General features: G+C 41.4%; 1 protein-coding gene across 7 annotated transcripts in view, besides 1 other annotated feature; it reads right to left on the bottom strand.

Moving 5' to 3' along the window:
- Positions 1-9353, bottom strand: part of EXOC6 (exocyst complex component 6) — a 232660-nt gene extending 223307 nt beyond the window's left edge. For 4 of the 7 annotated variants that reach the window (NM_001319194.2, XM_017016344.3, XM_047425369.1 and 1 more), the window contains exons 1-2: positions 4827-5076; positions 1360-1471 (exon numbers count right to left, since the gene is read on the bottom strand). In NM_001319194.2, coding sequence (NP_001306123.1) covers positions 1360-1471; positions 4827-4863 — 149 coding nt within the window. In that variant the 5' untranslated portion in view covers positions 4864-5076. Of the gene's footprint in view, positions 1-1359; positions 1622-4826; positions 5077-9239 lie in introns of those variants that run through there. The other 3 variants (XM_017016345.3, XM_017016346.3, NM_001013848.4) reach the window with 2 other exon arrangements.
- Positions 13778-14072: an enhancer, noted in NCBI's record as "tiled region #4238; K562 Activating DNase matched - State 5:Enh". NCBI's record gives its function as "activates a minimal TATA promoter and a strong SV40 promoter by Sharpr-MPRA in K562 cells {active_cell/tissue: K562}" and the evidence as "EXISTENCE:reporter gene assay evidence [ECO:0000049][PMID:27701403]".

Below are 14661 nucleotides of genomic sequence, written 5' to 3'. Positions count from 1 at the left end.
GAAGGCCAAGGGCTCTGAAGCAGCAATGGGAGCAGAGGCCATGGCCTAAAACACATCTAGGCTCCCTTCACCCTTTCTCTTGTTTCCACTTAGACTTAGCCACCTAGCATCTAGCACTTAACTACCTAGCACCTGGCACTTGACCACCTACCTAGCCACTAGGTGGATGCACAAGTTTTAGAAGGCAATGGTACAATTTAAAGTATGCCCCATATGGAAAAAAATTGTTGAGTTTTCCATTGCTACAAAGCTCTGATTTCTGCTATTGAAAATTACCAGCTCTTTTTCGCAGAATATTTATGATGCTCAGATAAGACAAAGGTATATGTAATAGTTATAATGGAGTTGTAATTATTTTGCAACTATACCTACATATTGATAATCCAAGAATCAACCAACAAATCTCAATTGTTTACCATGTCCCTAACACTACCCTAAGACCTTTGAAGATATTCAAACTATGTTTAATGCAAAATAAGATTTAAATAGCTGGGAGAAATTTATTCAGGTTTAAACTTTAGTGGATTTAGAAGCTCTTGGCCCTGGGGTCTTTCTGAGAATGAAGAGGTCACACACACACACACACAGATACACACACACACATATCCTTCCACTTAATCTACAAATATTAGTCAACAAATATTTATTGACTGTCACTATCAAATTCAGTGATGAATATCTTGTTCCCACACTGATAGGTGTCAGAGACAGGCAGACATAGAGAATTAAATTTTAAAAGCTGCCCTTTGAACACAATGACACATAGTTTTTCATTTTAATCCTGTTCTTGAACTGTGAAAATTAATACCCACATTACCAAAGAAGCTATTTTTAAACCTTATATATTGGTATTCAAGAAAATGTTAAAAAAGAAAAAATAAATAAACCTTATATGGAAACAAAATAATACATATCTGAATGGTCACCATACACTCAAGAAAGCAGCTACAATACAAATAAATGGTCTACATTTTTTCCTATGACTCATATCCACCCAAATGTAAATTGGCTTCATTGATATGTCTAATTGTTCTGAATGTTTTTCACTAAGTGATATGTTAAAGAAAACAATTGAAACCTCATATAAATTTATTTGGAGGTGATTGAGGTCCTTTTTGATCATTTGAAAGTCATAGTTTTTAATCTTATGGTGATGAGTTAGGAAACATGCAAAATAAAATGGATTAATTATGTCCTGTAATCTCTCTAAGGATAAGAAAACTTTGAGATTAAGTATATACAGAACTGTAACTGTTTTGCAAGAATATTTTTTACTCTTATAAAGAATTATAAAAAGCAGGGTAAAGGACCACCTTATCACCGCTAAAGAAGACACAATAAAATGCAACGGTGCCCTACCTTAAAGTAGCTTCAACAGGCAGTTCGAAAGACTGAATCTCAGCCAGGACATTCTCATAGGTTTGATCTGTTTCTTCTTCCAACATCGCTCGACAGGCCCCTAATTTTCCAGCTGCAGATGTCAGATATTGAGTGAAAAACTGTTGTAATTTATAAAAAAAAAAATACCGTTTTCCTTATAATTATTAGAAGGATTCTCTGTTCACCCAAAGGAGCAACAAAAACAAGCTCACTGTCTGACTTCATGCTATAAAAGTCTTTGCTTCCAAGAATGTTGCACAGCTGTTGCTGTCCTGTTTCCACTTATAACATTTTACTTACTATTAACCTTGACACAGTTCGGAAAGTTCCTGCCTAGTGCCAGCTATATTTATTCACTCGTTTCTCAAAGACAATAACTATATGTAGGAATTACAGTCATTACACTATACAAATTTATTAAATGCATTTGATTTGACAAGGCATATATATTAATATTATTTATGCTAAATACATAACTAAAGCTACATTCCTAGTTATTACCGCAACTATGCTTCCAGAAGCATTTGTATTTGTGGGCAAGGGCTTGCCCACAAACCCAAGGAGGTAATTTGCCCAGGAAAAATGAAATGTGCTATGGGATGTGATTTTGAGGTCACTAGGCTAATTCCTTGGTGCCCTGTCTATCTCCTTTGCTTCTCTACTTTGCTGTGTCAATTTCCTCCATTAGAGATAGAGCCATTAGTTCTTTTATCTCTTGTTCAAATACAAATGCTTCTGGAGGCATTTAGATCTTACTCCTTTTCAGTTCCTTATGCCTCACTGTGAATGAGTTTGCTAGATCCCTTCTGCAGAATAGGTTTTGATGGAGAGGAAGAAAGAGAATGAAGATGTCAGGGTTTTAAGAAGGCTAGCTGCCACCGAGAGGAAGAAAGAGTGCATGAACTAGAGGCCCAAAACAGCAAAGGAAAATGTGCCCTACAACCAGCCCCAAGTAGGCCTAAAGAACTAACGGGCATGTATTTCCCATTACCACTTGCATTCGATCTTCTTCAATTCAGTTTAGCCTCAGCTTTCTTGCTTAATACAAGAAATACAATATTTAAAGGAATGAGTAGTGACATTCTTCCATAAGAAGCTTTTTATTTTTTTTTGTTTTTATCAGACTTTTTTAAAAGCTCTGACCAAAAATTGACGTTTGTTCTCTTAAAAATGTAGTATTCAAAGCATGCTATAACTACAATCTATGGCATTTGTCATAGATTGCATCAGTTTGTCACCCCTGCCTGCATCCACACCCTTGCCAGTACTTCACTGTGGGCACAGTATTTGTCGTCCCATGACTTTGGGCTCAGCCATGTGACTTCTGCTGGCCAGTGATATACATAAGCTAAAATAACAGCATGTGAGTTCTGAGCCTGGACTTTCTAAAGCCTCTAAGGCATTTTTCTGTTTGTCCTCTTGCACCTCTGCCATCACCTAAGAAAAGCATTCCCTGAGAGCTACATGAGATAGAGTCATCCCCACTGGTCCACAGACCTTCAGGGGAAAGTATATATTTTCATCTAGCTGCAGCAGCCTGAAACAGAACTGCCTATTCAAATCCACTCTGATGAGCCAAGCCCCAACTGAACCACAGACACAAGAGCAATACTAAATGACTGTTGTTTTCAGCCACAGACTGATGGGTTATACAGCAATGGCAAACCAATGCAGCATTCTTCACTTCAACCCCACCAATAGCCCCCAACCCTCAGCCCTAGTTTTGCTCCATGGCAGGATGGAACAAATGCAGCACCAATATGGCTCACACCATTTCCCAATAAGATGAGTAAGTCCTTTGAGACTTGACAAAAAATAATAATTTTCAATCTATCTTAAAGTTCTTGGCACAGTGGCTCACACCCGTAATCCCACCACTTTGGGAATCCGAGGCGGGTGGATCACTTGAGGCCAGGAGTTCGAGACTAGCCTGGCCAACAGGGCGAGACCCTGTCTCTACTAAAAATACAAAAATTAGCTGGGCTTGGTGGCATATGCCTGTAGTCCCAGCTACTTGGGAAGCTGAGGCCCAAGAATCACTTGAGCCCGGGAGGTAGAGGTTGCAGTGAGCCAAGATCGGGCCACTGAACTCCAGCCAAAAAAAAAAAAAAGTTCTTTATGTGCAAGGTTTTAAACTTATACCAAATTATAAGATTATATGTGTGCAGAATGTCTATCTGATTCATATCTGTATTCCCCATAATGCTTAAGAGTGTACACCTTGTAGGCCGGGTGCTGTGGCTCACACCTGTAATCCCAGCACTTTGGGAGGCTGAGGTGGGTGGATCACCTGAGGTCGGAAGTTCATGACAGGCCTGGCCAACATGGTGAAACACCATCTCTACTAAAAATTAAAAAATTAGCCGGCTGTGGTGGCGGACGCCTGTAATTCCAGCTACTCCAGAGCCTGAGGCAGGCGAATCGCTTGAACCCGGGAGGCGGAGGTTGCAGTGAGTCGAGATTGCACCACTGCATTCCTGCCTGGGTGACAAGAGCAAAACTCCGTCTCAAAAAAAAAGAGTATACACCTTGTATACAGTTATAGTAGATACTCAAGAAATGCTTATCCAATGAATGAATGATTGTGAAAGCTACTAGCTGAGTTACCTCTGCCTTGTAAGGAAATGGTGCAAATTATGCAAAAATCTGACAATTCTAGATTGTGTTTGTCAGAACCTGAAAATACATAAATACATGATGAGAAATCACTCTTAAAAGAGCCATCAGCATCACTATATTACATTGAAGAGAAGAAAATTCATAAATAATGCCACATATTCATGAACACATACATCTGTGATGACTGATCCAGTTCTAAATATCACATGGTTTTAAAAATTCATTCTTCTCTCCACACAGCACAAATTTTAATTTTGAAAATTTTCAAACTTATAGAAGAATTACAGGAAGAATATAATGTGAACAAAAATATACCCTTCATCTGATTCACCAACTGTTAATATTTTGCCACATTTACTCTCTTTCTCTCTCTCTTTATTCAAGGAGATTTTAGAATGTAGGCATATGCTCCTAATATTGGAGAGAAAATATATTAATTTAAATAGAATAGGCTGGGCGCGGTGGGTCACACCTGTAGTCCCAGCACTTTGGGAGGCCGAGGCAGGCGGATCACCTGAGGTCAGGAGTTGAAGACCAACCTGGCTGGCATGGTGAAACCCCATCTCTACTAAAAATACAAAAAATTAGCCAGGCATGGTGGCACGCACCTGTAGTCCCAGCTATTCGGGAGGCTGAGGCAGGAGAATTGCTTGAACCCGGCAGGTGGAGGTTGCAGTGAGCCGAGATCACGCCATTGTACTCCAGCCTGAGTGACAGAGTGAGACTCCAACTCGAAAAATAAAAATAAAAAAAAAATAGAATATAGTATAGAAGAATACTATACTCTAAAGTAGTTTAATTAACAAACCACTATTGCTTTGACTTACTGTCACTGCATGACCCCGCTCCTCCTACACAGCACATTCATCCTCTTCCGGTACAGCCGGCTCAGCCTGGAGATTCAAGGTCTTCTGTCCTGGTGGCCCAGTTGCTTCCCTCTGCTCCTCAGCTCTCCCCACCCTCCCTCTACTCCCACCCCACTGTCTTCTGCTCCTCTCAGTCCTGCTAAGTGCAGTTTCTGTCTGCCTCTTACTTTCTTCTACACCGTAGGAGACACGGGCAACAACTTCCTGTTTCCACTGGCTAAACCAGCATCTTCCTTTTATTCAAAACTTTCCTTGAGTGCCATTTCCTGCCGGAAGTTCGCACAGATTAAATGAACAGGAGAGGCTCTCCTCCCAAAAGTAACAGAGAAAACAATCTCCCCTGTCTCATAGTGCTAACAACAAATTCATCAAATGAGGAAAAGAAAAGGAGGAAGTGGAAAGTTTTGAAACAGCCATATTCCAAGATGCCCATAAAAAAGAATGGCGTGTGTGACTGGAATGTTCCCAGTCTGGACCCTTAACCTCTCCTCCCACCTGCAGCTCAAACTCTTTGACTACTTCCTAGGATTAAGTCTGACCACTGACAAGAGAAGTTTAAGTGACCCTAGGCTAGTGGTTCTCAACTGGGTGATCTTGTGGGTCCCCTGCTCGAGGGAAATGTCGGGAGACATATTTGATTGTCACCGTGGGAGGTGGGTGGTGCTACTGATATCTAGTGAGAATGGGCCAGGGATACTGCTAAACAACCTACAATGCACAGCACAAACCCCCACCTGACCCGCAACACACATACACATGAATTATCCAGCCTGAAATGCCAGTAGTGCCCAGGCTGAGAAATCCTGCCCCAAGCTGATCTTTGGGACACACCATCAGGCTGTGTGTGAAGTTGATATAGTCCTGTTCCTTGGGGCCCTTTTCTGGGCCTTTTTCTTTTTTCTCTATAACTGAGTCACTGTCCCATTAGTCTGCTAGGAACCCCTGTCCCTCTAGAACTGGAAATTAACCTTTTTTTAAGTAAGTTTATTCTTCAAATAAAACTGCATCAGTCGCTCACCTTTCTCACTCCATCACCAGGACTAGATTCCCAGGCTCCTTGCTCTGTACTGGAAACACTAGTAGGAAGCATTATGTTTGTTACGAGAAAGGGGTCCCAAGAGAGGGTTCTTGGATCTCGCACAAGAAGAAATTTGAGGCAAATCCATAAAGTGAAAGAAAATTTATAAAGCAAATAAAGGAATAAAGAATGGCTACTCCATAGGCAGAGCAGTGGCATGGGTGCTCAGCTGCTTATACTTATTGTTACTTCTTGATTATTTGCTAAACAAGGGGTGGATTATTCATGAGATTTCTGGGAAAGGGGTGGGTGATTCCCAGAATTGAGGGTTCCTCCCCTTTTTAGACCATATAGGGTAACTTTCTGACATTGCCATGGCATTTGTAAATTGTCATGGTGCTGGTGGGAGTGTCTTTTAGCATGCTAATGCATTATAATGAGCAGTGAGGATGATCAGAAGTCACTCTCATCACCTTCTTGGTTTCGGTGGGATTTGGCTGGCTTCTTCACCACAGTCTGTTTTATCAGCAAGGTCTTTGTGACCTGTATCTTGTGCCAATTTCCTATCTCATCCTGTGACAGAATGCCTAACCTCCTGGGAATGCAGCCCAGTAGGTATCAGCCTCATTTTACCCAGCCCTTATTCAAGATGGAGTCACTCTGATTCAAATGCTTCTGACATGTTCATGTGTTTCATTGGCACAGGTGCCCCCTCTACAATTCACAGTCTCTAGGAAACATATCTGGGAAACTGGGGACAAGGCAGGGGTGCCCCAGAAGGTAGTGAAGTGGTGTTGTTGTCTGGCGTTGTTGTCCGAGGTTCATTGCCTCATGCCAAGGAAATCAAGGACATGGACACGTATGGAGTGAGGTTAAGAGCAGAGGCTTAATAGGCAAAAGAAAGAGAAAGGAGAACAGCTTCCTCTCCTGAGAGAGAGAGGGGCGCCCGAATGGGACTTCCAGCCTGTGGGGAGTGCATCGGATTTTATAGACAGGCTTGAGGAGGTGGTGTCTGATTTGCATAGGGCGCACAGATTGGCTGGACCAGTTGTGACGTTTACATAGTGCATGAAGAAGCTGGCCACCCTACCCTAATCTTATCATGCAAATGGGCTTACCACTTGGCCAGCCCCATGTTGTCTGCTCCCTATGGCACATGTGGTTGGAAAGGAAAAGGGAAGATGGAGCAGTCATTTTGAACATGCTTAGTCCCAGGTGGCCTTTCCCTATTGGCACAGCTGCCAGCATTCTACCCGCGCAAGCTTCTAGCCTGCCTTTCTACATCTGTAACTCGATTTTACAGGCTCCTCTTTGTTAGAAAAGAAAATGATTTGGAGGCTGCTTTTCATTAAAAGGAAAAGTTTACGGAGGACTTCCTTACTCTATCTGCCGAAATAATTTCTTCTTAACTCCTCTATCAGTAGAAGAATACCAGATGAAAGTGGCCCACCCCTGGCAAATATCACCTGGTGTTTAATCCTGCTCAGTCTTGGCGGAGTTGGAGTTTTCCCTCCTATCCTTAACCCACTACTTCTTGTGCATTTTGAAGGGTCCACAAAAAAAAAAAAAATACACACACACACACACACACACACACACACACACACACAGACACACAAAACTCAGCAACCTAGAAATAGAAGTCTATTAAAAAAAAAAAAAAAACTGGCGGGGCACAGTGGCTCACACCTGTAATCCTAGCACCCTGGGAGGCTGAGGCTGGCAGATCACCTGAGGTCAGGAATTTGAGGCCAGCCTGGCCAACATAGTGAAACCCTGTCTCTACTAAAAATACAAAAATTAGCCAGGTGTGGTGGCACACATCTGTAGTCTCAGCTACTTGGGAGGCTGAGGCAGGAGAATCACTTGAGCCCGGGAGGCCGAGGTTGCAGTGAGCCAAGATCGCACCACTGCATTCCAGCCTGGGTGACAGAGCAAGACTCATTAAAACAAGCAAACAAAGAAAACACTAATATCTTGTTTGCTGACTAAATGCCAAACATTGACCACCTCATCTCAGGAAAACAACAATCACTAGCTCTATTCAAAATTGTCCTGGAAATCTAGCCAGTGTAATAAGTCAAGATAGGGAAATAAAAGACGTAAAGATTGGTAAGAAAGAAGAAAAATTGATATTTGCGGAATACATGATTGTATATGTAGAAAATCTAGAGAGATCAACAAACAGAGTTAATGAGTGAATCTAGCAAGCACTCTAGACCAAAAAATGCTCATCTGTATACTAGCAACAGGTAGGAAATGAAATACAAAATCGATACCATATACAAAAGCAGCAAAATACGTCAAATATCTAGGAATGTTATATGCTACTGACTAGGATTTGGGGAGCTAATGGGCCATAGCTGAAAGTGCCAACAGAGTCACAAAACATTAAGGAATGTTAAGGTCCAAGATTTCAGAAAGGCAGAATGAGAGTTCCCAAACCCAGTGGAGCCAGAGGTCAGCGTTGAATTGGGGGCCTGTAAGATGAGCAAAAGTCCAAGAAAATCAGGAGCAACAAAGGTGTGGGAACCCCTGAGCCTAGAATGACCTTTAGCTCTTGCAACTTGCTTTTCTGGAATCATCTGGTCTGTGAGGGGATCTTCTGGCTTTAAGGGTCAGAGGTGATGCCACAGATAGCAGCAGCTTTTTCTTTGCCACAAGATATCACTCACCTGTCCCCTCCAACATGCTACCTTATACAAATCTGATAGTGTAAGCTGAAAGACAGAAATGCTGCCCAGGGTGTACACAGGTATTTTGCACTTCCTCTCCATTATACTCAACATGGGGATTTTTTTTTTTTTTTTTTTTTTTTTTTTTTTTGGCAACAGGGCCTCACTCTGTCGCCCAGGCTGCAGTGCAGTGGTGCCATCTCGTCTCACTGCAACCTCCGCCTCCTGGGCTCAAGCCATCCTCCCACCTTAGCCTCCTGAGTAGCTGAAACCACAGGAATATGCCACCATGCCTGGCTAGTTTTTGTACTTTTTGTAGAGATGGGATTCCTCCATGTTGCCCAGGCTGGTCTTGAACTCCTGAGCTCAAGCGATCTGCCCACCTCAGCCTCCCAAAGTGAGGGATTACAGGTGCCAGCCACCACGCACAGCCAAGTTTAATATTTAAAAAAAAATACTGTGTGGGCCATGGAATGCACCATAGGCACATTAGTCCTATAGACATGGTTTACATGGAGCGCATTCATAGGAAACTGTTATTCATTCATTCAAATAATATTCTTTCAAATAATATCGTTATGAATCAGACACATATCCTGCTTTTAAAATGATCTACAAGCACTCCATGTTCTGCCTCTCCCTCTGCCCTAGACTGCCCTGATGTCATCTCTTGCTCCTTACCTGTGTTTCATTCCACTTCAGTTGCACTGACCTCAGTGTTCCTCACACTTTACCAGGCATGCTCCACCTCAGGGTTTATGCTCCTGCTCTCCCCTCTTTCTGAAATGCTTTTGCCTTTGATATTCACTTGGCTCACTCCTTCAAAAATCACCTTCTCAATGATGGCTTTGCTAAAAATAAAATCCAGCATTTTAACCTTGAGCTGGGACTCTCTATCCCCACCTCACTCCCTCTGCTTTGTTTCTGTCCCATAGTACTTTCTGTCTTTGGACACACTGTACACTTCACTTGTTTATTATCTGTCTCTTCTATAAGAATGCAGATTAATGAGCACAGGGAATTTTTTTCTGTTTTGTTCACTGATACATCTCCAGTGCCTAGAACTGTGCCTGGAAATAGGAGACACTCAATAAATATTTGCTGGATGGACAGATGGATGGATGGACAGACGGACGGACAGACAGACGGATGGACGGACGGACGGATGGATGGATGGATGGATGGATTTTAAAAAATGAAGAAACACACAGATAAGAAAGGAAAAAAATAGTTTTAATACATGAAGGCAAAAGACGAGTGCTAGAAAAGAAGAAGGGATAAAAAAATGCCAGGAAAAGCAACCCAAGCACTCACCAATGGATGAATGCATCAGCAAAATGTGGTATAAACATGCAATGGAATGCGATTCAGCCTCAAAAAGAAAGGAAATCCTGTCACGTGCTACAACATGGAAGTACCTTGAGGACATTATGCTAAGTGAAATAAGGTAGTCACAAAAAGAAAATACTGTATCATTCCACTTATACGAGGTATCTAAAATAGTCAAATTCATAGAAACAGAAAGTGGAATGCTGGTTGCCGGGGTGAGGGTACAGGGGAGATGGGGAGTTGTTTAATGGATATAGAGTTTCAGTTTTGCAAGATGAATACGTTCTGGAGATCTGTTGCATGACAATGTGAATATCCTTAACACTACTGATCTGTACGCTGAAAAATGGTTACCATGATTTTTTAAAAACAGAGGGGCTTAGAAGAGAAGAAGAGTATCCAGAGGAGGGGTCATTGGAACTGTGAACTGGAAAGTGGATACCATTTGGATATTCCAGGGTGGTGAAAAAACTCATAGGCAAGTCCTATGCAAAGAAGTTGGTGGGAACAGGGACCGCTAATGTGGAGAGAGGACATGGCCAGGGAAGTGAAAGTATGGCCAGGGTGGTGAGCATGGGGCTGCTTGCCTGAGAAAAGGGTGGAGACAGATAGGTAAGCAGAGAGTTGGGCCCTTATTGTTGTTTTGCTCCTACAGAAGCTAACACCATGGCTGGCACAACATAGGTGTTCGATAAATATTTGCCTAACAAATAATCTGGACACAGGAACAGAGTGGTTTGTAAGTAAAGAGCAACCAATAAATATTTAATTATGATATCACAGAGTTTGTCTTGCAAATGCTATCTAAAATAAAATAGTTAAAAGTTGTTTTCATTGTATCAGTAGTAGTATTTCAACATTAGGAAATCTTTCAAGATATTCAGTTAAGTTCTAAAACTATAGCATTGTTATTTTCAGCAGAGTTACAATAAAACAGTTTGTTATTAAAAAGTTAGTTTTGTGTTTTGTGTTTTGAGACAGTTTCGTTCTTGTCGCCCAGACTGGAGTGCAGTGGCACGACCTCAGCTTATTACAACCTCGGCCTCCTGGGTTCAAGCAATTCTCCTGCCTCAGGTTCTGGAGTAGCTGGAATTACAGGCACCCACCACCACACCCAGCTAATTTTTTAATTTGTAGTAGAGATGGGGTTTCTCCATGTTGGCCAGGCTGGTCTTGAACTCCTGACCTCAGGTGATCCGCCCTCTTCAGCCTCCCAAATTGCTGGGATTAGACACATGAGCCACCACACCCGGCTAGAAAGTTAGCATTTTAAGAAAAATCTGTGGCATTAAAAATTGTGATTCTACAGAGCCATTATATATTTTCCATATCATCTTTTAAAAATTCAGGATATAATATTTCATAACAAAAATGGTTTGATCTTTCAACGGATCTGTGATTTCTCAGTAAATTATATTCCTACTATTCCTTAAATAATAAAATTTCTAAGTAATAGGAAAATAGTTGGCTGGGCACAGTGGCTCATGCCTGTAATCTCAGCACTTTGTGGGGCCAGTCAGAAGGATCGCTTGAGGCCAGGAGTTTGAGACTGGCCTGGGCAACATAGCTAGACCCCATCTCTACAAAAAAACTTTTTTAAAATAAATTAAAAATTAAATTTTTAAATTAAAAAAGTTTTAAAAAATCTATTCAAAATCTCTGATACGACTTACCTCATTTTTCTGTTTATAAAATCCTAGAGGTCATGGTATTTCTATGAATATTAGAATGTTACTACTGGTCTAATCCACCTGCTCCTTGGAACATGCCATGGTTTTGTACATTTCTGAGCCTTTATACGTGTTACTTCCTTTATCTAGAATGCATTTCCCAAACTAGTTTTCCTGTCTCTAACAGGGGGATAATAATAGTGTCACCTTCCTCAAATGGTGGTTGTGATGATTACACGACTTCTAAGCATTTGTTAGGTAAAGTATTTAGGAGAGGGTTTGACACATAATGAGCATCAATAAGTGTCAGTTATTACCATTATCTTACAAGACTTTGTTCAAATGCCACTTATTTTGTAATTTGCTGCTATCTCCCATAAATCTTTTGAACATGTCTTTACTGAAGTTCTTATCCCTTAATACTGTTGTTTTGTTATATATTTGTCCACCTTGCTGGGCCATGTGCTATGCAAAGGCAAGGCATGTGCCTCATGCTTCTTTAGATTCAAGGCATCTAGATGATGTTAGGTATGTAGTGGGCATGTACTGAATGGAAGTACTTCCAAGTGAATGGAAGACTTAAGTAGGAATGATAAAGACACTGATGAATCAAAACAAGTATGAGTACTCTAGCCTAGGCAACAAGAGCGGAACTCCGTCTCAAAAAAAAAAGAAGAAAAGAGAAAAGAAATCACTAAAGATCTTGCCGTCTTCTCTCTAGTATCTTTAGCAACTGTTCTACTCAAAACAAGTATGAGGAATGTTTACTACTTCATTAAACTGGTGTTTTTCTAATTTGACAAGGAAATTCTAGACTAATTGTTTTAATTAACTATAATTATTCTTTTTCTTTTTCTTTTTTTTTTTTTTTTTTTTTTTTTGAGACGGAGTCTCGCTCTGTCGCCCAGGCCGGACTGCGGACTGCAGTGGCGCAATCTCGGCTCACTGCAAGCTCCGCTTCCCGGGTTCACGCCATTCTCCTGCCTCAGCCTCCCGAGTAGCTGGGACTACAGGCGCCCGCCACCGCGCCCGGCTAATTTTTTGTATTTTTAGTAGAGACGGGGTTTCACCTTGTTAGCCAGGATGGTCTCGATCTCCTGACCTCATGATCCACCCGCCTCGGCCTCCCAAAGTGCTGGGATTACAGGCGTGAGCCACCGCGCCCGGCCTCTTTTTCTTTATCTTCATGCAAATCTAGGTGTTTTTTTAAGAGAAGGCTCAAAATCTCTTCCATCTTCGTTTCTCTGGGTTCTGAATAAAAATAATTGCTATAGTAGAAACTTCACCAAATAAATACTTGGTAAACCTTATACCTCTTCAGTTTGTTACGTTAGGGTCTTCTGATTGAATAATTTACAGCTGCTTTTGTTGGTCTTTTCTCAGACATAAATCTTAAAACGTTTGCATCCTGGCCAATACAGAATCAACACAGTGCTAGAGTCGTAGAGCTAGATTATGGTGCTACCTAGTGGTCAATTTTTGGCACATACGTCATTGAAACTGTCTCATGCTCTTGCACGTTTTCATTCTATTTTTTTATACTGACAATTGTAAAATGTCATTAGAAATCACTAAAGATCGGCCAGGCACGGTGGCTCAAGCCTATAATTCCAGCACTCTGGGAGGCCGAGGTGGGCAGATCACGAGGTCAAGAGGTAGAGACCATCCTGGCCAACATGGTGAAACCCGTCTTCACTGAAAATACAAAAAATTAGCTGGGCATGGTGGCGGGCGCCTGTAGTCCCAGTTACTTGGGAGGCTGAGGCAGGAGAATCGCCTGAACCCCAGAGCCGGAGGTTGCAATGAGCTGAGATCGCGCCACTGTACTCTAGCCTGGGCAATGAGAGTGAAACTCTGTCTCAAAAAAAAAAGAAAAAAGAAAAGAAAAGAGAAAAGAAATCACTAAAGATCTTGCTCTCTTCTCTCTAGTATCTTTAGCAACTGTTCTATGTGTCATTTCTCTTCCATTCACCTAGTTTGCATCTCTTCAACGAATAGAGAATTTAAAGGCATACTTCAAGACCTGTCAGATACCCTTTTCTCCCACAGGAAACTGGAACTTTTACAGGCAGAATTCATGACACCAGCTTCTTTGGGCCATGCTACCACACGCCCCCTCTGACTCCAGGCAGATCTCAAAGGCTGCCCATGACAAAGGCACGCCCCTTTGCACACATTCTTCTAAACAATCATTCCCTTTCCCTCTTTTGAAACCAAACAATTCCTTCAAAAACACAGTTTCAGGCATAAAATAGGAAATAGTACTAAACAAACGGAAATATTTTGCTTTAAATACTGAAGCCATTTGTTTACATTAAGAAATAGTTTGCATTCAAAGCCCATAAATGAAAAGAATCATGAATCATCCATCACAAGGGGACTTTATAGATAAGAAATAAGCTCTGGCCTGAACAATTGTATGAAGTATGAACAACTCTTCTCTGGGAGTTTTTGCTGAGTCATTTTTCAGGAAGTGGGCTGTCCAGGGAGATTTCTACGGAGGAACAATCGACAATATTTTCATATTAATAACCTCCAGTTGCTTTATTGTTCTCGAAACTTTTGTTAATGAGTATTTTCCTGTTCGGTGAAAAAAACATTAATCAAAAGACAAAGCCTAATCTGATTTATTTGTATGTGTTTGGGGTTCTTTTCTTCTATAAGTGATGTTAAATATATTTAACTAAGAGTTAGCTAATTGCAAACCTAATTGTCTTCATTAACTGAGTATAATCTCAGGAAATATTTTGTCCTGAACTTTATTTTTAAATATATGTGCAATAACAGGTTTTGGAGGGATGGTAAATACAGGCTGATACAGTTTGGATATTTGTCCCCACCCAAATCTCGGGTGGAAATATAATCCCCAGTGTTCAAGCTGGGGCCTGGTGGGAGGTGTTTGGGTCATGGGGACAGATCTCTCATAGCCTGGTGCTGTCCTCACCATAGTAAGTAAGTTCTGATGAGATCTGGTTTTTTAAAAGAGTGTGGCACCTCCTGGACTTGCTCCTGCTGCCACCATGTGAGATGCCTTCTTCCCTTCACCTTCTGATTGTAAGCATCCTGAGGCCTCCCAACAAGCTGAGCAGAAGCCCCGCCATGCT

Source organism: Homo sapiens, chromosome 10 (genome assembly GCF_000001405.40).
Source record: "Homo sapiens chromosome 10, GRCh38.p14 Primary Assembly".
NCBI classification, from domain to species: domain Eukaryota; kingdom Metazoa; phylum Chordata; class Mammalia; order Primates; family Hominidae; genus Homo; species Homo sapiens.
This window is presented reverse-complemented; position numbering and strand designations above follow the sequence as displayed.